This window comes from Homo sapiens, chromosome X (assembly GCF_000001405.40).
Source record: "Homo sapiens chromosome X, GRCh38.p14 Primary Assembly".
NCBI classification, from domain to species: Eukaryota; Metazoa; Chordata; class Mammalia; order Primates; family Hominidae; genus Homo; species Homo sapiens.
In genome coordinates, this window is record NC_000023.11 from 40,689,924 (window position 1) to 40,714,339 (window position 24,416).

At 36.9% G+C, this 24,416-nt stretch overlaps 1 protein-coding gene across 9 annotated transcripts in view; it reads right to left on the minus strand.

Annotated features, from left to right (window-relative positions):
* MED14 (mediator complex subunit 14) overlaps positions 1–24,416 on the minus strand; it is an 87,855-nt gene that overhangs the window by 41,619 nt on the left and 21,820 nt on the right. For all 9 annotated transcript variants that reach the window (XM_047442636.1, XM_047442638.1, XM_047442643.1 and 6 more), the window contains 11 exons: positions 23,855–23,984; positions 22,991–23,119; positions 22,263–22,370; positions 21,246–21,378; positions 20,056–20,206; positions 19,425–19,536; positions 13,521–13,646; positions 11,242–11,320; positions 7,101–7,260; positions 2,785–2,979; positions 2,260–2,394 (listed from right to left, as the gene is read on the minus strand). In XM_047442636.1, coding sequence (XP_047298592.1) covers positions 2,260–2,394; positions 2,785–2,979; positions 7,101–7,260; positions 11,242–11,320; positions 13,521–13,646; positions 19,425–19,536; positions 20,056–20,206; positions 21,246–21,378; positions 22,263–22,370; positions 22,991–23,119; positions 23,855–23,984 — 1,458 coding nt within the window. The remainder of the gene's footprint in view (positions 1–2,259; positions 2,395–2,784; positions 2,980–7,100; positions 7,261–11,241; positions 11,321–13,520; positions 13,647–19,424; positions 19,537–20,055; positions 20,207–21,245; positions 21,379–22,262; positions 22,371–22,990; positions 23,120–23,854; positions 23,985–24,416) is intronic.

The window sequence follows — 24,416 nt, forward strand, 5'->3', positions numbered from 1 at the left end:
GAGAAGGTGGACAGAGAGGACGTATGTCTACAGTCATTAACCTACGTAGGCCTACAAAGACACACATTTTTGCCAATTCTGGCCTGTGGGTAGGGGAAGAGAGGATATAAATGCATTGCTTTGCCTCAGCACCACATATCCATCTTCCCTTCCCACTGCAAAGGTAGTAACTGAATGATATTCATATAATCAATCCAAATAACACAATAAAAGAGTCCAAGAACACAGTCAATTACATAGGAAACATGGACACACTCCACAGTTTAGGAGCTAAGGCCAGTATCCAGATAAGAGGACATTCATCAGGCTCACAGTTCTAGGAGCTGGGTCATCAAGGACATGAGTATTTATTTTAGGTGCCTGTTTCTAGGCTTGGGTTTCTCTCTGGGCTCTTTACAATTTCACACCTTATCCTCTGCCTACAGATCCCAAATTCCTGTAAAGCAGGAGTTGGCAAACAACAGCTCATGAGCCAAATCCAGCCCACTGCCTGGTTTTTTTGTTTGTTTGTTTTGAGAAGGAGTCTCGCTCTGTCACCCAGGCTGGAGTGGCTTGATCTTGGCTCACTGCAACCTCCGCCTCCCAGGTTCAAGCAATTCTCCTGCCTCAGCCTCCCGAGTAGCTGGGATTACAGGCGCCCGCTACCATGCCTGACTAAGTTTTGTATTTTTAGTAGAGACGGGGTTTCACCATGTTGGCCAGGTTGGTCTCAAATTCCTGACCTCAGGTGATCTGCCCACCTCGGCCTCCCAAAGTGCTGGGACTACAGGCATGAGTCACCGTGCCCGGCCCACTGCCTGTTTTTGTAAATGAAGTTTTTTACCGTAACACAGCCATGCTCATTTGTTTAAATATCAGCTCTGGCTGGTTCACACTACAACAGCAGATTTGAGTAGCTATAACAGAGACCACTTGACCGACAAAGTCTAAAATATTTATATTTGGCTCTTTACAGAAAAAGTTTCCCAATCCCTGTTCTAAAGCATGAAAGCTATTTTCAACAAATCTTCCCAAGGCCATCATCATCAGCCCAACTGAAAAAGTCCATTTTCACATTTCCAGGTCTCTCCTTCATTCACAATAACTTACAGAGGAGGGGATTCTTACAAAACATAAAACTTTAACCTACAGGGAAATAACTGGGGTTTTAGTGTATCACTTTTGAGGGGCTACCCATCCTTGGCCAAACTCCTTTTTGGAAATACAAAAAGTGCAGGTCTGTTACCTCCCTTTCACGTTTGAGGATTATATTGGATATCACAACTGCGTATTCTTTCAAGGCACTAATTCTGCATAAATCTATTGCTTCTCCCATGTGAGAAAAGTAAAAATTTAGTTTAATATTCTTTCTGATCTGCTTCTTAGAAAGGATCCCGGTTTTACTAGGGCTTAATCAATATACATGGCTTTACCAACTCAAAAATAAGCCACCTGGCTATCAACTAACCATCTCTAATAGGCTTAAACAATGCTCCTACTAAGAGGTATAAAAGTAAAATGTTAATTCTTAAAAACTGTCCACTTGCTTTTCTTTAATTTTTTTAAAAGAGACAAGGTCTTGCTATGTTGCCCAGGCTGGTCTTGAACTCCTAAGCTCAAGCAATCCTTCCACCTTGGCCTCCCAAAGTGCTGGGATTACAGGCATCAGTCACTGCACTCAGCCTGTCCACTTTTTCTTTTAATCTTTTTTTTTTTTTTTTTTTTTGGAGACAGAGTCTTGCTTTGTTGCCCAGGCTGGAGTGCAGTGGTGCAATCTTGACTCACTGCAACCTATACCTCCTGGGTTCAAGTAGTTCTCCTGCTTCAGCCTCCCAAGTAGCTGGGATTACAGGCGTGTGCCACCACACCCGGATAATTTTTGTATTTTTAGTAGAGACAAAGTTTTACCATGTTGGCCAGGCTGGACTCAAACTCCTGACCTCAAGTGATCCACCCGCCTCGGCCTCCCAAAGTGCTGGGATTACAGGTGTGAGCCACCGTGCCCAGCCCTGTCCACTTTTTTTAACTGGGAAAATTTTACATTCAATTTCCATAAAGAGCAGAAGACCCAGAATCTGGAATCAGAGAGATGAAATAATTCAAGTCATGTTTTACATGTATACCATTAGATGCTATGATTGTAACCCTACCACTCCTCCCAAAATGAACAGGATCACAAACATTCTGCTTTTCCTAATGGAATCTATATATACCCTCAGCAACACATTTTAAAAACTACTCTTTCATTTGGGGTATCCAGAACTGTTCCAAAAAACTTACCTCCAACCGAAGTCCTACAAATGGCATATTTGTATCACACATAGCGACGAAGTGGGCTAAAACTTTATTGAAGGCACACATTTCTCCTGCTCGTTTTGTTTTCTTGGATTCTACTGGACATGGATCATCAGACAACTAGAATTTAAGTAAAGAACACAAACAGGTAAAAAAAAAAAAAAAAGTACATGTGATGCAATTCATTAAGATAGTTAAAATACTGGAAGAAAGCTCAGGGTTAACCAAAACAAATGTTATTGTATTTACTGAGTAAATACTGACCTAAACACTGGTAATTTATTAGTAAATATTTTGTGTTTCACAAGTTCTCTCATGGAAAATGGTGGACAATTATTTAATTAAAACAGAAGCATTTTCAAGAAAATGTAGACAATTGTTACTTAAGCCTTATTGCTGCCTCGTCTCTTAAAAACTGTATCTTAGTTCTTTCTCATATTAAAAATGAGTAAAGAACACAACCAAGTTAACACACACAAATTCTGTGCTCATTTTCATATGGAATCATACCTTGCGCTTGGCATTGGTTCTGGTCTGTTTCCCGGTTTTTGTACGAAAAACCAAGTCCTGAATGTTTTCCTTGAACTGCTGCAGCAGCAATGCCATTGCAGGGCTGTCTTCACGATCTGCAGCATTCACAGACATAAAGTAGTACTTGTACGACAGTTGTGTGGGTTTATTGGGAACCTCCAACATCTCCACAACCTAAAAATCCCAAAAAGAAATAAGACTTAGAGAAATAAGAAGTGTCAGATATTTTCCTCCGTACATCATCAAGTAAGGCTCAGAATTATAAATCTAATGTAGATGTCTTAAAAAAAAAAAAGGTTAAATCAATCGTATCAAAAAAAAGCATTCCTAGCAAATACATAATTTGTTTTCCAAAAAGTAGATGAGACCAAAGAAGAATGATAAAAGCAAAAGCAACCATAAACTATAACAAATGGGGCATTTAAACTATTATGTATTAAGTGTTCTTGATATTCACACCTCAGCTTATAAATTGAAAAAAACAAAAACAAATTTGCCTAAATCCAGTAGGTCTGTGATATGGTTTGGCTTTATGTCCCCACCCAAATCTCATCTTGTAGCTCCCGTAATTCCCATGTGTTGTGGGAAGGACCTGGTAGGAGATGACTGAATCATGGGGGCGGGTCTTTCCTGTGATGTTCTTGTAATAGTGAATGGGTCTCACGAAATCTGATGGTTTTAAAAACGGGAGTTTCTTTGCACAAGCTCTCTCTTTGCCTCCCACCATCCACGTAAGCTGTGACTTGCTCCTCCTTGCCTTCCACTGTGATTCTGAGGCCTCCCCAGTCACATGGAACTGTGAGTCCAATTAAACCTCTTTCTTTTGTAAATTGTCCAGTCTCAGGTATTTCTTTATCAGCAGTGCCAAAACAGACTAATACAGTCTGCTAGATTTTCTAGAATGGTATCTATTTTAAATTGCTCTGCTGCCTCCCTTAACCACTCAAACATCTTAAAAATTCCATTATTAAGGCAGAGAAAAATGACAACCATCCCTCATACTTGGAAACATGTAAAAACAAACCCTAATTTTTCAACTGAAAAATATGGTCACTGTGAGGGTAACAATATTGACAGTTAACACTGATACAAAGCTTAATATGTGCCAAGTATTGTCCTAATACTTTACAGATGCTAACATATTTAATCTTCCTAATAACCCTGTGAAGTAGGTTTGTTTGTTTTTTTGAGACAGAGTCTCACTCTGTCACCCAGCTGGAGTGCAGTGGCACAATGTCAGCTCACTGCAACCTCCGCCTCCCAGGTTCAAGCGATTCTTGTGCCTCAGCCTCCCAAGCAGCTGGGATTACAGGTGTGTGCCACTACACTAGGCTAATTTTTTGTATTTTTATTAGAGGTGGGGTTTTGCCATGTTGTCCAAGCTGGTCTTGAACTGCTGACCTCGGGTGATCCACCTGCCTTGGCCTCCCAGAGTACTAGGATTACAGGCATGAGCCACCGCAACTGGCCTATCTTTATTTTTGTGATGAGGAAACTGAGGCACAAAAAAAGCAAGTTACTTGCCCAAGGTCACACACGTAGTAAGTGACAGACTCATGCTTTGATTCCAGAAGTTTGGCTCCAGAGGCCTTGTTCTTCCTACTATACCTGCTTACTGTTTCCAAGGTCTAGCTAAAATTTAAGAAAAGTCCCCTAAATGCTTTAGTGACAAAAATATATGCCATTAGGAAAGGCTCCTGACCAACACACATTCTTTTCCATTTCTCTTCCTGCTTCCTTTCTCCCTTGCTCCCCCTCCTCCCCACACATACTCTTCAGGAAAGCATCACACTGATGATGTACCTCAGGAAATGTTAAAAGTCAAATGGCCATTTCACCAAAGAAGACAGGATGAGCACACGAAAATATGCTCAACATCTTCAGCCATTAGGGCAGTGTAAATTAGGCCTACGATAAGACACCACTACATACCTATCAGAATGGTTAATATTTTTAAAAAATTCTAATGACTAACTGTTGGCAAGCATGAGGAGCAACGAGAACTCTCATATATTGCTGGCTGGAATGCAAAATAGTACATCACTTTGGAAAACAGTTGGCAGTTTTCTACAAAGTTAAACACACATTTACCATATGACCCAATAATCCCACTCCTAGTTACTTATCCAAGATGAAATAAAAAATGACAACTTATGAACACACACAAAAATCTATATGCAAATGTTTAACAGCTTTAGTCAAAATTACCCCAAACTGGAAACAACCCCAATGTCCTTCAATGAGTGACTCATTAAACACAAACTGTGGTACTCCCACACCATGGAATGCTACTCTGCAACAAAAGGAAGGAACTATTATACACACAACAACACAGATGAATGTCAAAGGTATTATGCTGAGTCAAAGAAACTGGACGGAAAAGGCAAACCTATAGAGACACAAAACAAGTCAGTGATTACTAGTTGGAGGGGGCTGATTATAAGGGGTATTATGTGGCAATTTTGGGGGATAATGGATCTGTTCTGTGCCCTGAGATGGAGGCTACACAACTGTATGCATTTATCAGAACTCATGCTAAAAAGTCTGTATTTTTACTTTATGTAAATTATATCTTAATAAAGCTAACCAAAAAAGAAAGGTAAAATGGCAGAAAGACATTTAAGGGGATATCAACTGCAGCAAGACTTTCCTCTGTTCTTCTTAATGTCCATGTTAGTAGTTCTTTCCACTTCCATGAACATATTACCCCTAAGTGATAAATCTAGAGGACGAGGAATAATCTACATTCAGTTTTGGTCTAAGCCATATGAAACAAATTATTGCTTTATAATAGATCACTGGTCACTGACATTAAAGCGTGGTTAAATGTCATAAAATAATAAATTATAACCATTTTTGTCTTATTTTGTGCATGGCTGATTATAAGAGATCTTTGTATGTTCATGGGTTTCGCTATGATGCATGTATTCTGTATTATCATTTCACATGTAGACCAAGCAAGCTCACTGAGAACTGAAACAATAGTCTTTTGTAGTGGGCCAAATCTAGTTCTACAGCTGCTGTTTTAAAATTCAGAAAAAAGTAAAATTCAGATCAATGACAGACTCACTAGTCTACATAAGTATCCCGAGCTTAAGATATGTCAGCCTACAATGGTGTCCTTTTAAAATAGTATCTTTTAAAAGTACAGGTCAAAACCTTAAAAAGTTCACTCCCATTACTTTCAACAAACAATCTTGAATTAAAATTTTTATTTTATTTTTATAAGCGACGAGGTCTCACTATATTGCTTAAGCTGACCTCAAACTTCTGGGCTCAAGTGATCCTCCTGCCTCGGCCTCCCAAAGTGTTAGTTTTACAGGCATGAGCCATCACACCTGGCCTGAATTAAAATTTGTAAAACATAGATTCTTAGCCAACATATCTACTTGGTATATACAGAGATTTTTTTTTTTTTTTTTTTGAGATGGAGTCTCACTCTGTCGCCCAAGCTGGAGTGCAGTGGCATGATCTCGGCTCACTGCAAGCTCCGCCTCCCGGGTTCACACCATTCTCCTGCCTCAGCCTCCCGAGTAGCTAGGACTACAGGCGCCCGCCACCACGCCTGGCTAATGTTTTGTTTTTGTATTTTTAGTAGAAACAGGATTTCACTGTGTTAGCCAGGATGGTCTCAATCTCCTGACCTCGTGATCCACCCGCCTCAGCCTCCCAAGTGCTAGGATTACAGGTGTGAGCCACCGTGCCTGGCCAGAAATTTCAACAAGCAAGAAAATATATTCAGGATGGGTTCATATTTAAAATTATTGCAAATTTTAACTAATTCAAAAATAAAGAAACTAAAAAACATACAGAAACAGTGAAAAAGGAATAGAGAGGACCTTACTGTGCACTAAAAGGAACACATACTCAATAAAATGAAAGATGCCTTCAATCAAAGAAGGATGAAAAAATAAAGCTAATTCAGCCAGTCCATATTTGAAAGGTTTCACTATACAAGTTAATATTTCAAGTGAAACAAGTTTATCTGACATCAAAACATCGCCAGACCTTCATAGGAATTGGTCTTAAATTTTTTATTCTTACAGAGATGTCTCATTCCAATCAAAGACTAGGCCTCATCACAGGACAGACCCTAGAGTGAGGGATGGGGTTATACCTTATGTTCCCCAACTGAGACGTGACATTCCTCTCTCCCCAATTCTAAACCCCTGGGTTTCACTATACCAAAGTCAAATATTCAATAAAATTCATTGGCAAGTTAAACAATAAGTCATTCAAGATACTAACAGAATTACTAAACTTGATCACTCCAAATCACTCCTTTGCATACTTACAATGTAGTATTGTGGAAGGCGGGTAAGTTTAATGAACAGTTTATTCTTAGAAAGGTTTCCAATAGGATGAGTTGAGTAATTGGAAAGCTGCAATGTTTCACTGCTTATCGTAGGCAGATGTTTTATAGACTGCTTGCAACGCTGTTGTCCAAGCCAAAACCTGAATTTAAAAGTGATAATCCACATCAAATCTCAGACTTTTCTGATTATCTGTGCCCTATCGATTTACAAATGATTAAAGACCATTAAAAAAACAATTAATTGAAATTTAACTGAACTAATAAAAGGACACATGGCCATAATGACAAATCATTTTTTCATAGTTTTGCACTACTGTCAATTCTAGTTTTAGTTTAAGAAGTTTAAACTGCAATGTGAATGATCTTAGTTATAAGGTAGAATTCACTGTAAGGATGAGATACTATGTTAGTTTATTATTAAGGAGTGACAGATTTCCTACGGTTTAAAGACAGCACCAACTAATCTCAACATTCTTTATATAGCCCCAGTTTTTAAATTGTGTATGTGTGAAGTGTGTAGTATACCTAGCGGGTCCCAGTAGTATTAACTACCTTTGTTCCCACGTTCCTTTCAGGTAAGCTGCCAGATTTCACTGACGTTTTTAATATAGTACTCCTTTTATTCCTTTTATTTGATTATCTATCCTTGAAGCTAGGATATCATATAATATGTAAAAAAGGGATAAAATGGCTGGTTCACAAACTCCACTGATGCATAATGAAACTACAGAAAATAAGAATTTTCACAGCAGCATAACGATGCCACAACATCCCAGCTCATGATCAGCAGACTTGCCTTGATGAATAGGGCAAAGACCAGGTTGGGTGCTGATACATTTGTGTGGCAAGTTGCATGTGGTACAAACTGTATACCAGTTATGTGCAGTAAAACCATGTTATAATATATGACATTTTAAGGGTAGTTTGTCAACTGTTCTGGAAACCATTTTGTTTTTTTCATTGAAAGACAAATTTAACTACAACTCTACGGATCAAATGCAAGAACTGGTTACTGATGAAGGAATGAAGATAAATTTTGAAAATATACCATCACTTGCTTCATTTTGAATAAAAGTTAAAAATGAATATCCTGAACTTGCTAAAATTTATTTCAAATCTCTACTTTGATTCCCATCAACATACCTTTGTGAGAATGATTTCTCTAGTATGTATGTTATTAAAAGGAAAACATAAGAAACATCTCTCATGATTAGCATTATCATCAATCCAACGTGGACAAGTTATTACAAACAAGAAACAAGCTCATGTGTCACATTAAAAATTCTAAATACTGATATACAAGGTGGCCTTTTCAAAGTCAATCTGGAATTGCTATTTCACTCTTCATTATTTGTTATGATTCTGAGGGACAAAAAACTTGAGTCTAAGTGACTTTCTATATTAATTGCCTGTGTATACACTTTCAATGAAAAATGTACACAGTTTCTATAATTTTCTTTTTTCCTATGTTCTGATTATATTTACTGAAGTATAACTTTATCTGTTGATTCTAATAAAAAACATTGGGGCTTATATCTTATACATGTTCTTTCATTTCTTTTTTCCTAGAATTCATTTTTATTGCACATTATTTAAAAAAGTAATCACATGAACAAATAGATGCTCAACATCATTATTTGTTGGGGAAATATAAATGAAAATCACAATGAGATACTTCTTCATACTCATTATTAGGATGTCTATATTCAAAGACAGTAACAATTGTTGGCAAGGATGTAGAGAAATGGAAATTCTCGCAACATTACTGATGAGGTTGTAAAATGGCACAGTCACTCTGGAAAACAGTTTGGCATTTTCTTTTAAAAGCTAAACAAATTACTGTACGCCCTAGCAGTTCCATTCCTTGGTTCTACTCCAAGAGAAAAGAAAACATAAGTCCACATATAGACTTACACATGAATGTTCACAGCATCATTATGCATAATAACCAAAAAGTGGAAACAACCCAAATGTTCATCAATTGATGAATGGATAAACCAAATGTGGTATATCCATACAGTGAAATATTATTCAGTCATAAAAAGGAATGAAGTACTGATACATGCTACAATATGGATGAACCTTGAAAACATTATGCTAAGTGAAAGAAGCCAGTCACAAAAGACAGCATATTTTGATTCTACTTTATATGAAATGACCAGAAAAGGCAAATAGAAAGTGGATTCATAGTTTTCTGAGGTTGGGAATGGTTATTAACTATAAATGGACATTTCTTTGGGGTGATGGAAATGTCCTACACGTTCTAAAAGTGGATTGTGGTGATGCTTGCAAAAGTCAGTAAATTTACTACAAATCATTGAATTGTATACTTAAAATGGGTGCATTTTTATGGTATGTAAATTATACCTCAATAAAGTTATTTTGAAAAATCAGTGTCCCATGATAGATTAGTGATAAACTGGTCATTCACCACAAATCATCTGAGAAACACTATTATAAGTGACAATCAGGGGACTTTTCTTATAAATAAATCATGTAAGTTTACATACAGGCACACATTTGGTGAGTTAAAGGCTTTTGGAACTTAACTTTCTGGTTTTAGTTTATATTTTGGGCAGCTAGAACTGCCAGATAAACAACCTCAAGTTATGCAAGATGTGAATTATTAAGCATGTTAGGATATTTAAACCTTGCTTATTTAGCCAAAATGCACAATGATGCTAAAACACTAAAAGTTTTAGAAATCATTACCCAGATTAATGACTGATTTTTTTTCACATACAGATACACTAAATAGCTGCTCAAAAAAAAAGGCTCACATAATATTATCTATCTACTGGCTTTAAAAATCATGCCCTGCGCTGGGCACGGTGGCTCACGCCTGTAATCCCAGTACTTTGGGAGGCCAAGGCAGGCACATCACACCTCAAGTCAGGAGTTTGGGACCAGTCTGGCAAACAAGGTGAAACTCCGTCTCTACTAAAAATACAAAAAATTAGTTTGGCATGGTGGCACACACCTGTAATCCCAGCCATTCGGAAGACTGAGGCAGGAGAATCCCTTGAACCCGGGAGGGAGAGGTTGCAGTGAGCCGAGATGACGCCACTGCACTCCAGCCCGGGCAAGAGAGTGAGACTCTGTCTCAATAAAAAATAAATAAATAAATAAAATAAAACAAAAAATCATGCCCTGAATACAAAAATTGGCTGGGCATGGTAGTATGCACCTGTGGTCCCAGCTACTTAGGAGGCTGAAGTAGAAGAATCGCTTGAGCCTGGGAGGCAGAGGTTGCAGTGAGCTGAGATCACGCTATTGTACTCCCCTCCAGCCTTGGTGGCAACAAAGTAAAACCCTGTCTCAAAAAAAAAAAAAAAAAAAAAAAAAAAAATTCATGCCCTGCTAATGAAAACATTACTTGGTTATATTGAATTTTTCAAATATTGGCTAAAGGGAAGGGCAGAGGCTAAAAGATTATAAAAACAATAGATCCCACTTTATAGTCTTTTCTTTAGATACCGCCCCCCCACCGCCTTCTCCATTTGCCAGTTTTGGTTTTAGTCTCTGAATTTTTTTTTTATCCTTTGGAATTCTATTAATTTTAAGAAAGAGTTTGTTAGAGTTGCTATAAGGGTACCTTTGTGTACCAGAGTGGTAATGAAACTCCACAGAATTATATCTAGCTCCATTTTCAATTTTATTTAGTTTAACAGTGTGAAGCATTTAAAGGATTTTGAGACAAATTGAATGACTGTATTCGAGAAGCAGAAATGACTATTTTGAAAGTGTCAGTTGGTAGTCAACCATGACGATTACCCTGGATAAGAACAAATAGGACTTTATTACAGAGAACACTTGATACAATAAAATTCATTGTGTAAGTGATTTGTAAAGTGCTTGTATAGAAGAAAATGTGGTAAGGGATGAAAGCTGAGTGTTATGCCCTTCACACCTATATTTGCTCTAGAGGAGAATTTGATATGAGAAACTGACATCTTGGAACTATTCCAAGAGAATTTAGATTCTAAGGTACCAAACGGCACTTAAGTTTCATGTCATAAACCTTAAGGACAGTGAATGACCAAGAGTAATGATGGAGAAGAAAACATATCTTGTCAAAATAAGTTTCCATTTTTAGTCTTGAGCTATATAAATAAGCTTACTTAAGTTGCTGAATCCAGGGTATGATTCGTTTCATATCATCATTCACAGACTTCTCCATGTCATCCAGAGTGGCCTGGTCTACAGAATAAAGCACTTCATTAATTAATTGCTTATATGAGAAACAAAATCTTTATCTAGGTAGTGTAAAACAAATAAAACAAATGAAAATTATTGTTTAAGGCAGAAAATCATGTTGTTTTTGAGTCAGAGAAAAATTAAACTAAATGTACCATTAGATATAAGCCAACCTAATTTGTTTTCCCTCTTTAACTTTTAGGGAGCATTATAGATATGACAACTAATGGCAAATGTACACTGGCAGAAAGAACAAGTAACAAATACATGAATCCATTCTTTGCCTATATTTTAATTCCCCAAACTCCTAGTCTACTTAATCAGTATTTTTAAATTATAAGTATTTAAAACTCATAGTATTATTAGACTTAGAACCTTAAAAATCATAAAAACAAAAAACTCCACTGAAATATTTACTTATGAAACACAAATGATCTCTGGCATATGGAACAGCTGCTGGCTGAAGATCAGCTTGCAAATTAAGTCAGAATTTTTAATGACACTAGAAAATGCTAGTAAACAGAATAATGAGCAAAAAAAAGCAAGATACAAAATGATTTTGATTAATGGGGACAAAGTATAGAAAAAATTAGAAAAGCACTGCTATGGGGTCAACTATGTCCCCCCAAGATCCATATGTTGTACCCCTAATCCTCAGTGTGATGGTATTTGGAGAAGGGGTCTTTGGGAGGCAATTAGGTTTAAATGAGGTCATGAAGGTAGGGACTTCATGAAGGGATCAGTAGCAGACTTATAAGAACGGATGCCAGAGAAGTCGCTCTCTCAGCCATGTGAAGACACAGCAAGAAGGCAGCTGTCTATATACAATCTATATACAAGCTAGAAAGAGAGCCTTCATCAGAAATCAACCATGCTGACACCTTGATCTTGAATTTCTGGCCTCCAGAACTATGACAAAATAAATTTCTGTTGTTTAAGTCACCTAGTCTATGATATTTTGTTAACGGCAGCCTGAGCTGCTAAGACAAGCATACATCCCTAAAAGACTATTTTCTGTTGCTTTTCTAATTTTTGTGTGTTTAAGTTTTTTATTTATGAGTATGTACTATGTTAATAATCAGAAAAACAGTTAAATATAAGTTTTGTTTTTTTTTTTTTTTTTTGAGACGGAGTCTCGCTCTACCGCCCAGGCTGGAGTGCAGTGGCGCGATCTCGGCTCACTGCAATCTCCGCCTCCCAGGTTCACGCCATTCTCCTGCCTCAGCCTCCCGAGTAGCTGGGACTACAGGCACCCGCCACCACGTCTGGCTAATTTTTTGTGTTTTTAGTAGAGACAGGGTTTCACCGTGTTAGCCAGGATGGTCTCGATCTCCTGACATTGTGATTCGCCCACTTCGGCCTCCCAAAGTGCTGGGATTACAGGCGTTTGAGCCACCACGCCTGGCCTAAATATAAGTTTTTAAGAACAAACAACATTTGCCTTATTTGGAACCCACAGTTAAAGTAATTCATAAATGCGTCATTTAGCCATCATAAATGTGATGTCATTCAAAGTAATTAGTTCAGTTTTCCATGAGCAGCCCATAGAAAAAAAATCTATAGCTATAAAATATAACCAGAAAGCCCTTTATTTTCAACCTTTCTAGCTGAATATTAATTTCAAATAGCAGATGTCCTAATATATTCAAGAACACTGTCCAGTAGCAATACAAAAACACTAAATTCTTATTTCATCATTTCATAACACTGACTCAGTAACAGAACAAGTAAGAAATCAAACTTTAATTTCTACTGTGTTTAGGCCAGAAAAAAAAATCCTTTCCTCCAGGATTCTGTACCTCAAGTCATCTTAGATGTTTCTACTGTCATAAAAATGTTCTTCAGCCACAAATGACATTAGAATTCCTTATTGTGATTTCCATGTCACCCAGTGGTAAAATAGAAACTGAGCTACTGGGATAGATAAGTTAACCTAAAAAACAGCAGCCATCAACATTATTAATTTTGCATAAGGAAACACGAATGTGCGTTATACTGGGAAGTTTAACATCTGCTACAAGAAAATCCAAAGTAGTTAAAACGGCCCCGAGGAACTGACATCAGTCAGAGTTATGGTTTCCATACCCACTTTCAACACTGCATATACCATTCTTTCTAATACCTAATGACAGAAAATGTTTATTTTGTTTTTGTTAAAAATAATTTTTCTTACATTGAATGATTATATCATTTAGTAACTTACCAAGTCCATAAAGCATCAATTGAAACATTCCAGAATGTAAATCTACAAAAATGTGCAGACACTCTGAATTACCACAGGGCTCCAAGATGGGAACAACAAGAGCTGGGAGTGCAGTCTCTATGGAAGCTGAACAATCAAGAATTAAAAATTATTTTTCTATCTGAATATTTTCCAGAAAAATTATTTCTCAATCAATGAGTACAAACAAACCAACTATTGAAGGATCCTAAATGTTAGAGGAAAAACATGATTTTGCAAAATTTGCAATAGTATTATTATGTCAGTTAGCAGCTCAAAAAGGAAAGAATGTAATTTTCAAGGTGACTTGAAACAAACATGCCTGTCTCAAATACTACAGCAAAAAAAATCCAAAGTTTCTTAAAGAGGGTTGAAATAGCTAGTGAAAATTCAACTTCATCAGTGAGCTGAGTTCTAGTTTTACTTTCACTTGGTAATTACTAATAAGCTAATTAATTTTTAAGGATTTTCTCTTTTGTATAATGGAAAGAAAACTAGTTGTTTATAAACAGAATAAATATCTTCTATGGCCTCATGATTTTCAATGCCATTCCTCATAAAAAAGAGGTATTCTGGCAATTAGAGCCCATGTGTTTAAACTAATAAATATTATTGATTACCCAGGAAGAAAAATTTTTTTCAAGTCATTTGTATACTCCATTTCAAGTCACAGATGAATTAAGAACATAGGCAATTGCTAAACACAAATCCCCAAAGCTGACAATATGCCTGATCTAGAGTTTCACAGTATTTCCACGAGGCCCAATTAACTTTTCTCTTAATTCTGCAAGTGACATAATGAAATCCAGTAAACAAGCAAAACACTGAAAACACACTAAGTGCTGATCAGATTGAGGGGTTGTAAAAGGAATATGCTCTTCTTGTTACCAAGTTCCTCTGAAGCTACAGCACAGAAAAAAAAGGCAGATACAGAGGAGAATGGTGATGCAGGTGCTCGGAAGGAGAGGTAACGTGGCAGGCGCAGAGGGGAGTGGCGATGCAGGCCTTTCACCAGGCGTGGCTTCTGCCTGCTTTTTTGTCAAACAAGGAAAATAACATCTTCCCCTCCATGCCACAGGTTGTTAGGAGCAAGAAATGACAAGGCTGTAAAAGTGCTTTAAAAAGCAAAGTGTTTGACAAATGTATATTATCTATATTCCTTTTGAATCAAAGAAACAAACCAAAACCTTTTACTATAAATTTTCAATAATTCAAATGGATGACATTACCATTGGTACTGTCTACACAAATTATCAAACAAATTAATAAAGTAAAAGATTGCAGAAGACATATTTAATTAGAGAGAAATAAATTGCTTTAAAACATAGGGTGAGCATCCTAAACTCCAAAATTTGAAATGCTCCAAAATCCAAAATTTTTTGAGCGCTGACATGATGCTCAAAGGAAATGCTTAATGAAGCATTTTGGATTTCGGATTTTCAGATTTGGGATGCCCAACCAGTAAGTACAAATGCAAATATTCCAAAACCCAAAAAAAATCCGAGATCTGAAATACTTCTGGTCTCAAGCATTTCAGATAAGGGATACTCAACCTGTACATCTAATACATATTTGTATACAAAATGTTTAACATGCAAATCCAGCAGAACTCTGACCTGAAAAAAACAGAACAAAAAGGGCAAAAACAAAAATTTCTTTTACCATATAATTCAGACCAATGTGACAAATTAGTTCAAATCAGTGACATTTTGCTGAACTTACTATGTTAATAAAAAGTTATTACAAATGTGAAACAGAGTTGCTGATTTTTGAAACATTTCCATAGTGTCACAATTCCTGACAGGGTAGGAGTGAATTCTCTAAAGCAAAACCATTTCTAAAGCGTGGCAACAGAGTAAAACTAGTTCTGGGAATTGGGGTAACAATTATAATTTCAATCTAATTACCACAATTGAGTATTCTTAGAAAAATAGGGCATCAGAGAAGAATACAGATAACACAGTTCAAAAGACAAGAAATACTCTGATACAAATCGATGTACAATTTTTTGACTACCAATGTCCATATTTTTCTTTACAGAAAATAAAATACACAATGCCCTAAAGCATTTAAAGGCAACAGGTTTTAGGTATACAAAAATGGGGAAACTTGCAAAGAAAATAAAGAAGAGGGAATTAAAAGCAGTGTAAGATGACAGGACTTGCTGCTATTTCGTCCTGCCAGAACATATATATATCTCCTTTTATTTCTATCATTTATTGAGAACAAGATGAGAATGGATAACAGACAGAATATAAAGTGTGAAGAGTGAAGAGCGGCAACTAAGCTCAATTAGGAATGGCTGTGTGTGGTTCATAGCTTCCAAACTGATCATGATGCCCTGATTATAAGTGCTGAAGGGTAGAGTACAACATAAGGGAGCAGCACCCTGGCTTTCAAGAGTTAGGCAATGCTGCCAACTGGGCCATATCTCAAGTTACCTTTAGTACCTTGCACTGCTTTTTTGGAACTTATCTCCAAAGTCCTGCCTCCTCTCCCCTAAACCATTTCTACCCCCACGAAACCACATGCCTGAGCTGCTCAAAACCTGAAGTCTATGCCTTCCCCTAGCCTTCCCTTGAAATGCTCCACTCTCTGAGCTACTCATTTCCTTGGGTTATTCCAGTTAGGTGTTAGAAGAAAAGCCAGCTGATTTAAGGGTGACTGCGCTAAGGGATTCTAAGAATAGACTATGTAGTCCCTCATCCCAGTAAGGATCTTAATAAAGCATGCTCGCCCATCACAAAAAAGGATCAAGTAAGACTACATGGAGAGTATAAATGCATGCACATGAATTTAAAGAACAAGTTAAAGCACATGCCCTAAGATGGTGGGTCGGCAGACCCTTTCCTCTAGCAGTCCTCATTTCTAGAACTGTCCTGATTAAAGCAGAACTGAGGAGATCAACCCCGCATGCAAGCTTCTCCCTTCCTTCCAAATTATAGTCCCTAAGTCACCCTTCTCTAACACCTGGGACTCTACAAAACACCTAGGGCTTGAAAACCACTGGTGTAGCACATTCCTACTAGAGTTTAAGATCTAGGAAGAGCCTGGACTATTATAATATCCTCAAATTTCAGATGAGGAGAATGGCCCAAATAGTGTAAATGACTTGTTCAAGAGCAGACAGCTGAACTCAGATCTCTAACATTTCTACAAAAAGGAATTTTACACTTGGGTTCTGAAGATTTCTCTAAATTTCTCTTTAGAAATCTTCAGAACCTAGGTGAACAGCACACAAAACCATTCCTATGTAAACGTATGCTTTGAGTTTATTTTTCAAAGTAATTTAACTATCCCTTGGCAATCATAGTTTTTTGTTTCTGTTTTTTAACTTACTAAGTTTTTGTTCTGTTTTTTAACTTACTAAGCCTTGCTTACAGATGATACTAAAGTAAACCAGAGCCTATCAAAAGATTACAAACTCCCTATTTTCTGGAATCTCAACAAACGAAGTTTTGAAAAATTAGAAAAATTAAGATTGCAAAATACTTAAAGTCTTCTTTAAGAACAAAAGAGTTGGACATGGTGGTTCATGCTTGTAATCCCAGCACTTTGGGAGGCCAATGTGGTAGGATTGCTTGAGCCCAGGAGCATAAGACCAGCCTGTTCAGCAGGCCATGGACTTAAAATAGATACATAGATGGATAGATAGATAGATAGATAGATAGATAGATAGATAGATAGATAGAGACCAGCCTGGGCAACACAGTGAGACTCCATTTCTTAAAAAAGAACAAAAGGGGAATTTCAACAAGGGTGACAAGACAATTAAACAGGAGAAAATAGTCTTCAACAAATGTTACTGAGATAACTGCATATCCTCACGTAAAAGAATGCAAACAATAACAAGTATTGGTGAGGATGTGGAGAAAATGAAACCTTCCCACATTGCTGGTTAGATTGTAAAGTGGTGTTAAACACGTCAAAAGGTTAAACAGTTACAAGACCCGGCCATTACACTCCTAGGTGTACAGCCAAGAGAAATGAAAACTTACGTCCACATAAAAACTTGGGCATGAATGTTCATAGCAGCATTATCCACAATAGCCAAAAAAGAAAAACAACCCCAATGTTCAACAATGATGAATGGATAAACAAAAGATGGTATAGCCATACAATGGATTATTTGACAATAAAAGTGAATGAAGTATTGAAACATGCTGTGAACCTCAAAAAAAATGTGTTAAAAACAGTATGTAAGAGACCACACATTATGATTCCATTTATATGAAATGTCCAAATAGGCAAATCTATAGAGTTAGAAAGTAGATTAATGATTGCCAAAAGGGAGGCAGGAAGGGAGAGGAGTGAATGGGTTGTGACTGCTAATGGGTACACGGTTTCTTTCTGGGATGATTAAAATGTTCTAAAATCAAATTGTGGTGATAGTTGCACAACTCTTTCAGTAAAAACCATTGAATGAGGTAATTATATGTGAATTATATCTCAATAAAGCTGTTAAGAAAAAAAGACGAAAAGGCAGTGGTGGTTAGTAGCCTTTCTAATTCCAGTGAGAGTTTCAATTATACTTTCCAATCATAATTTTTAGGTCTGTATTTAACATCTTTGCTTGAGGGATTAAAGGGGAGGGCCTTCTACTGAAGCTTTTAATTAAATTAAGATAATGAAGTACTGATAAAGCTAATGTTAAACCCTGATAGGGCTAATGGACAGGCACCCCCAAGACACATCTAACCAATACATTCACCAAATTTCTGGCAGATCCTTTATTTCTTTTTTAAGGCCCATATTTGCATTTTTGTTAAGTTAGGCTGCCCCTCTCCTTAGTCTCTTTAAAAATATAAGCTAATGCTTTGGTTTATCTTAGATCCCCTCTTTCACCTCTATCTTTTCACTTTCCTTGAATGAGTATGTATTCTAAATACACACTTATTTTTCTAACTTTCTGTCTTTCCTTCAGGCAATTTTTTAAAATCTATTTCTGTCAAAGTGATTTTAATCCAGAGTTACTAGTACATACCTAAGAAGCTGCTTCTTTAAGTATAATGGATTGAGCTGAGCTCTGTGATGACAAAAGGCAGCACCTTCGTTACTAGCACTATTAAGACTTCCTACTTATAAGGCACTTCACTTACGTCATCTAACTTAATTAAAGACTGTGCACTGTGGGCACAAGGTAATTATGGCCAAAAACAATTGGGGCAGGGATAGTAAATATGCCCATTATGATGTTGCGAACCTATATTCCCAGAATGAAAGGGTTTACTTTCTAAATGACTGTCCCTCAAAGCTCTGAATATACTTACTAGGTAATTAAACTTGGAAGATTTTTCACTATGTCCATGTATCTGCATTCCTTATTTGAACTGTTAATAATTTTTAAAAATTTTTTAAAAAGACAAGGGATGAATTCTGCTTCACTCAAAGGGGCATATTTTACAAGTATATTATAAATATTTGGAATGCTGTTTTATCACTAGAAAAAAGTTTAAAAATAAGGTTCATATTAAAATGTTAGCTCATGTTTCATAAAGTTTTTCTTTTTTATTTAAAAAATTTTATAAATAGAGACGGGGTCTCATTTTTTGCCCTGGCTTGTCTAAAGCTCCTGGCCTCAAGTGATCCTTACATCTCGGCCTCCCAAAGTGCTGGTATTACAGGTGTGAGCCACCATGCCCAGCCCCATTTCATAAAGTTTTAAGGAAATCCAATACACAAATATTTCAAAAATAAGGCCAAGCTAAATAAGTAACAAGGGAAAAATTAGCATAAGTTTGGCAGATCACAAGTTAAAATGCAGAAATACCAGCTTCCACAATAAAAGCAAAATATCAAGAAAAAGTCATATTAAGATTCTCATCAAATAAAACTGGATTCTAGTTTAAACAAAAGAAAAACAAATGTCAATTTAAAAGAACCTACAGTTTTCATTGGCATTGAAGCCTCTAAGAATGGCCTTCAGTTCTTGGAGCTTCTGATGAGCTCTTGCATGGACACTGTCAATCAGGAGTTTTTCTATTGATAAGTGGTCGATCTGCATAAATAAGAACAACAAATTCAAATGTGCAATTTAAACATTTTTACTTTAAAAGCCCAAGAGTAGATTACTGTGCTTCAAAATATTTCCTTTTGGAATCACACTGATTAAGTGTTAACCCTAATAGAAAGCAAACTTAAAGTTAAAAATTAACTAATATGGTATTGAGTTAAAAATTAACTTACAATTGATAGCTTAAAAACTATAGTTAACATTTTGGTAAGTAATAGGAGAAGATATTACAAATCAGTTATGGTGCTCTAATGCCAGACCTTAAAATTAAAATGGTATCTGATCTAAATTATAAAATATGAAAGAATATCTTAAAAATTATATATTATAGTATCAGATGTTTTAAAAAAACAAATGTAAGAAGTGTAACATTTACTTAAAATAAGTTTCATAAAAGGTTTTAGGAAGAATTAGATATTTTTAAAAATTTGTGCTAAGAGTTTAAGGATAAATGGCAAGTTACATTCATTTAAACCAATATGAAAATATATTGAGATCTTTTACCTTCATGGCTCTTTCTACTAATTTGGAATCAGAAGCTGGCAAAGGAGGATCGTGAAAAATCTGTAAAGGCTTGGAGACATCATTCTCATCAATTTTAATTGTAACTTTGTGAACAGATGCTGTTCCAGTTTTTCTCCCAAGAACCTGTTGACTAAAGAAAAAAATGAAATGAAGAATTTTTTTCAACACAGTCTGTTAACTTCTAGAATAAAATAGAGACAATCCATTGTGCAGTTTAGCCACAGCCTGGAATACGGCAGGCCCCCAGTGTTTGTGGAGGGAATAATAATGGGAAGATAGCTATTCTGTAATCCAATACAATATTTGATTTATTGCATTTAAAAAAGACATATAATTTAAAAATAAAACATATGCACACATGAAAAAGAACCCCAAAACAAAAACTACCTGTCTTCTAAGTAGTATCTACTCACCTCTGACTCCTTTACAGAAAATGGGGGTCATTTGGGATAATAAGATGCCGGGGTGGGGAGAAAAACAGGAATCAAGTAAAGTTCAAACAGGGAATTGAGAGTTACAAACAGTCCAATAGGAATTTTCTCCCAAAGAAAGTTTTTAACAGGCACAATTCAAAGTGGAAAACTGTGATAAGCATGCATGTTTTAAAAAATGATACCCAACAATCTAACCTAATGGTCTTTTCTAACCTAACGGTCTTTTAGCTATTTGGTATAAACCCAAAGTAAACTAACCTCTCAAACTTTTTAAGAATAGTAAGTCTTAGTACAAACAGGTAAATGTCTATGTATTTAAAACATGTTCTAAGACAGGTGTCAACTATGGATGTCCTATGTGGTCTACATAATACTATGGGACCTTACTACACAAAAGCATGTTACTAGAGGTGCATAGCTATTGGTATACAGTCATTCCTTGGTATACTTGGGAGACTGGCTCCAGGATTCCCGTCCCAATACCAAAATCCACGCAAACTCACGTCCTGCAGTCAGTCCTGCGGTCAGCCAGCAGAACCCACGTATAGGGAAGGTTGGCCCTATACGCAGGTTTCACATCTTGCAAATTGATCTGCATATAAGTGGACCCACACAATTCAAGCTTGTGTTGTCCAAGGGTCAACTGTATATTAAATCAGATGTATGAGAGAAAAAGAGAAATAAAAAGAGTATTTACAGTCATAGCACGAACCCACCAGAACTGATTTTACTTACTTCCAAACTGAAAGGGAGAGGCACTTTCCAGCATGATACCTTTCCACCTGCACAAGGTCTCCCCACCGTTCTCGGATTAACATTAGAGTTTGGGAATGTAACACTTCTAACTGAAGTGATAAACAGAAAGAATCTGATAGATGTTGTTAAGTAAAATTAATACATTACACCAACAGTCAATCAAGTCCAGGAGAACTTCATTTAAGGAAGGTTCTCTTATTGAAAACCTGGAGAAAAATTTCTGAAGAAAATTTCTGAAATGATTATTTCTCCAATGCCTCATCGTAAAAAGTATTATAATTTATAGCATAATTTCAGAAAAAGGTTTTATATTTAATTTTAAACCAATATAAAACCATAAAGTCTGGGTTGTGTCTTAATTCATCATAGTTTAGAGAACATGGATTGACCAAATAGTACTATTTTTTTCACCAAACAGTACTTTTTTATTATTATTATTTTGTGTGTGTGTGTGACGGAGTCTTGCTCTGTCATCCAGGCTGGAGTGCAGTGGCATGATCTCGGCTCACTGCAACCTCTGCTTCCTGGGTTCAAGCGATTCTCCTGTCTCAGGCTCCCTAGTAGCTGGGATTACAGGTGCCCGCCACCACACCAGGCTTCTTTTTTTTTTTTTGGATTTTTAGTAGAGACAGGGTTTCACCATGGTGGCCAGGCAGGTCTTGAATTCCTGACCTCAAGTGATACACCCGCCTCAGCCTCCCAAAGTGCTGGGATTACAAGCATGAGCCACCGTGCCCAGCCTCAAACAAGACTATTTTTAACTAATCACTTTTTGCTTTTACCTGCAAAGTCAACAGTAAAATTTTAAATTTGGTTTATTACAAACATATCACTATTCTTCACTATTCTCCAGCCCTATCTGCACCTCAAAAAGGGTGGGGGAGATGGGGGCAAGGAATGTAGGCTGCTACAGTTCAAGACTAAGGACAAATGAAAAATGTGGGAGAGGTACCACAAAATCCTTACAAATATATGTCTCAAATTTCAGAAGGATACGTAGGCAGTTGTACATATCCTGAAGAGGTTTCTCATCAGCAAAGAGCCTAGACTGCACCAGTTGATGGATGAAGCTGATTTGCATGCTATGAACCAAAGCTCGCCCATCTTCCGTTGGCAGAAGAAAAGAAAGCAGTTAATTAAATAGGTGTACAAGTGTGTCACTATACCAACTAAGGAAGCACATAATAACAATGAATTTTTTTAAAAAGCACTGAAATTATCTACAGAAACTTGACATTGTACTCTGAGAAACACTGAAACTTCCACGGTCAACAGGCAGTTACAATTATAAAACTTGCTTCAAATTACAGGATAAATTGCTGCATGCATTTATTATTTTGCAGGAATATATATATAGAGAGACAGGATCTTGCTCTGTCACCCAGGCTAGAGTGCAGTGGCATGATCATGGCTCATTGCAGCCTCAACCTCCCTGGGCTCAGGTGATCCTCCCACCTCCCAACCCCAGCCTCCCAAGTAGCTGGGACTACAGGAACACACCACCACGCCCGGCTAATTTTTAAATTTTTTGTAGAGACAGGGTCTTGCTATATTGTCTAGGCTGGTCTCAAACTCCTGAGCTCAAGCGATCCACCTGCCTTGGCCTCCCAAAGTAGTGGGATTACAAGCATGAGCCATCATCCCCAGCCGGGAATATTTCAATAATATAAAAAATCAAACATTTAAACTAATACTTATGATTTAAATCACTACTTATGATTTACCTCCTGTTTCCTTATCCTCAACTAGAATTTCTAGCTTGAGAAGACGCCATGGAACATCAGGGTCATCTCCCATCACAGTCAAGGTGGCTTCAAATTCTCCTTCAACACGAAACTTCACCCGGCCATTTGCTTTTAGAAGAAAAAGATGAAGAAAAAGAAGTGTACTTTGCTAGAAAATGAGAATCTTCCTCCTGACCTAGAATTTTCAGTCTTACTTATAAAAATTTTTAAATAGATTGAAGGTTCTTTCATAAGGTTCCAACAATTCAATGGTTCCTGAATAAGAAGTAGCCAGCTTCCAGGTCAAGAAATGAAAGGCAACTCTTCTAACATAAATGAACAATATTTTCTTGAGGCACAACTCTGGGGACTCTTCTCTCTTTCCAGCCCCACTCCCAAGCTGCAAATACCAGCACTGTATTTCTAGGTACTAAAGAGAAATGATACAGCTGGCAAGTCGTAGAATCAAACACCATAAAACTGTCAGTCAAATCTTCATGATGCTATTTTTCCTTGAATAAAACCCAAAAAGCTGTTTAGGAAAATATTCTAACATGCAAATTCTGTCACCCAGGCTGGAGTACAGTGGTGCAATCTTGGCTCACTGCAACCTCTGCCTCCCAGGTTCAAGCAATTCTCATGCCTCAGCCACCCGAATAGCTGGGATTACAGGTGCGGGCCACCGCACCCAGCTAATTTTTGTATTTTTAGTAGAGATGGGGTTTCACCATGTTGGCCAGGCTGGTCTCAAACTCCTGACCTCAAGTGATCTGCCTGCCTCAGTCTCCCAAAGTGCTGAGATTACAGGCATGAGCCACCGCACCTGGCCATCAACTCTTAAAAAAATAAATTTCAGATACATACCAACTGTAAGATTTGCTAACTGAGGAGGAAGATCTGTGGTTACAAGCCGATGTCTAAGAATCTGATTCAGCTGATGGAGTGTGGCTTGTTTTTCAATTTTGGTAATTGGGTCTGGAGGAATAATTTTGTCCTGCAAAAAAATTTAAGTGATTTTTAAATAATGTACAAACGGGGATTTTTTTTTTCAATCTTTTCCTGTCTTTATACAGTGTTGCGTACTTTACCTAAGAGAATCTTAACACTCATTTCTGCAGTCTACTTACAAAAACAATGGCCATTACTATCATGCATAAGAGCAACAATGATTCTAGTCATTTAGCTAAGATCATAATACAACATGACCTCCCTTAATGCTCTATTTATAAACCAACTAAATATCACTTGATAGCTTCCACAAGTTCTTACAAGTATAAAATACAATATGGCACCAAGTCAGTAAACTACCAAAACAATAAAAGTTTAAAACACTTTCAAAAAGCAACTAGCATGTAGCATTTTCACATCTGAAATAGATGTTATGTCTGCACATCCGCGCATCCCTGGGGGAAAAAAAAATAAAACC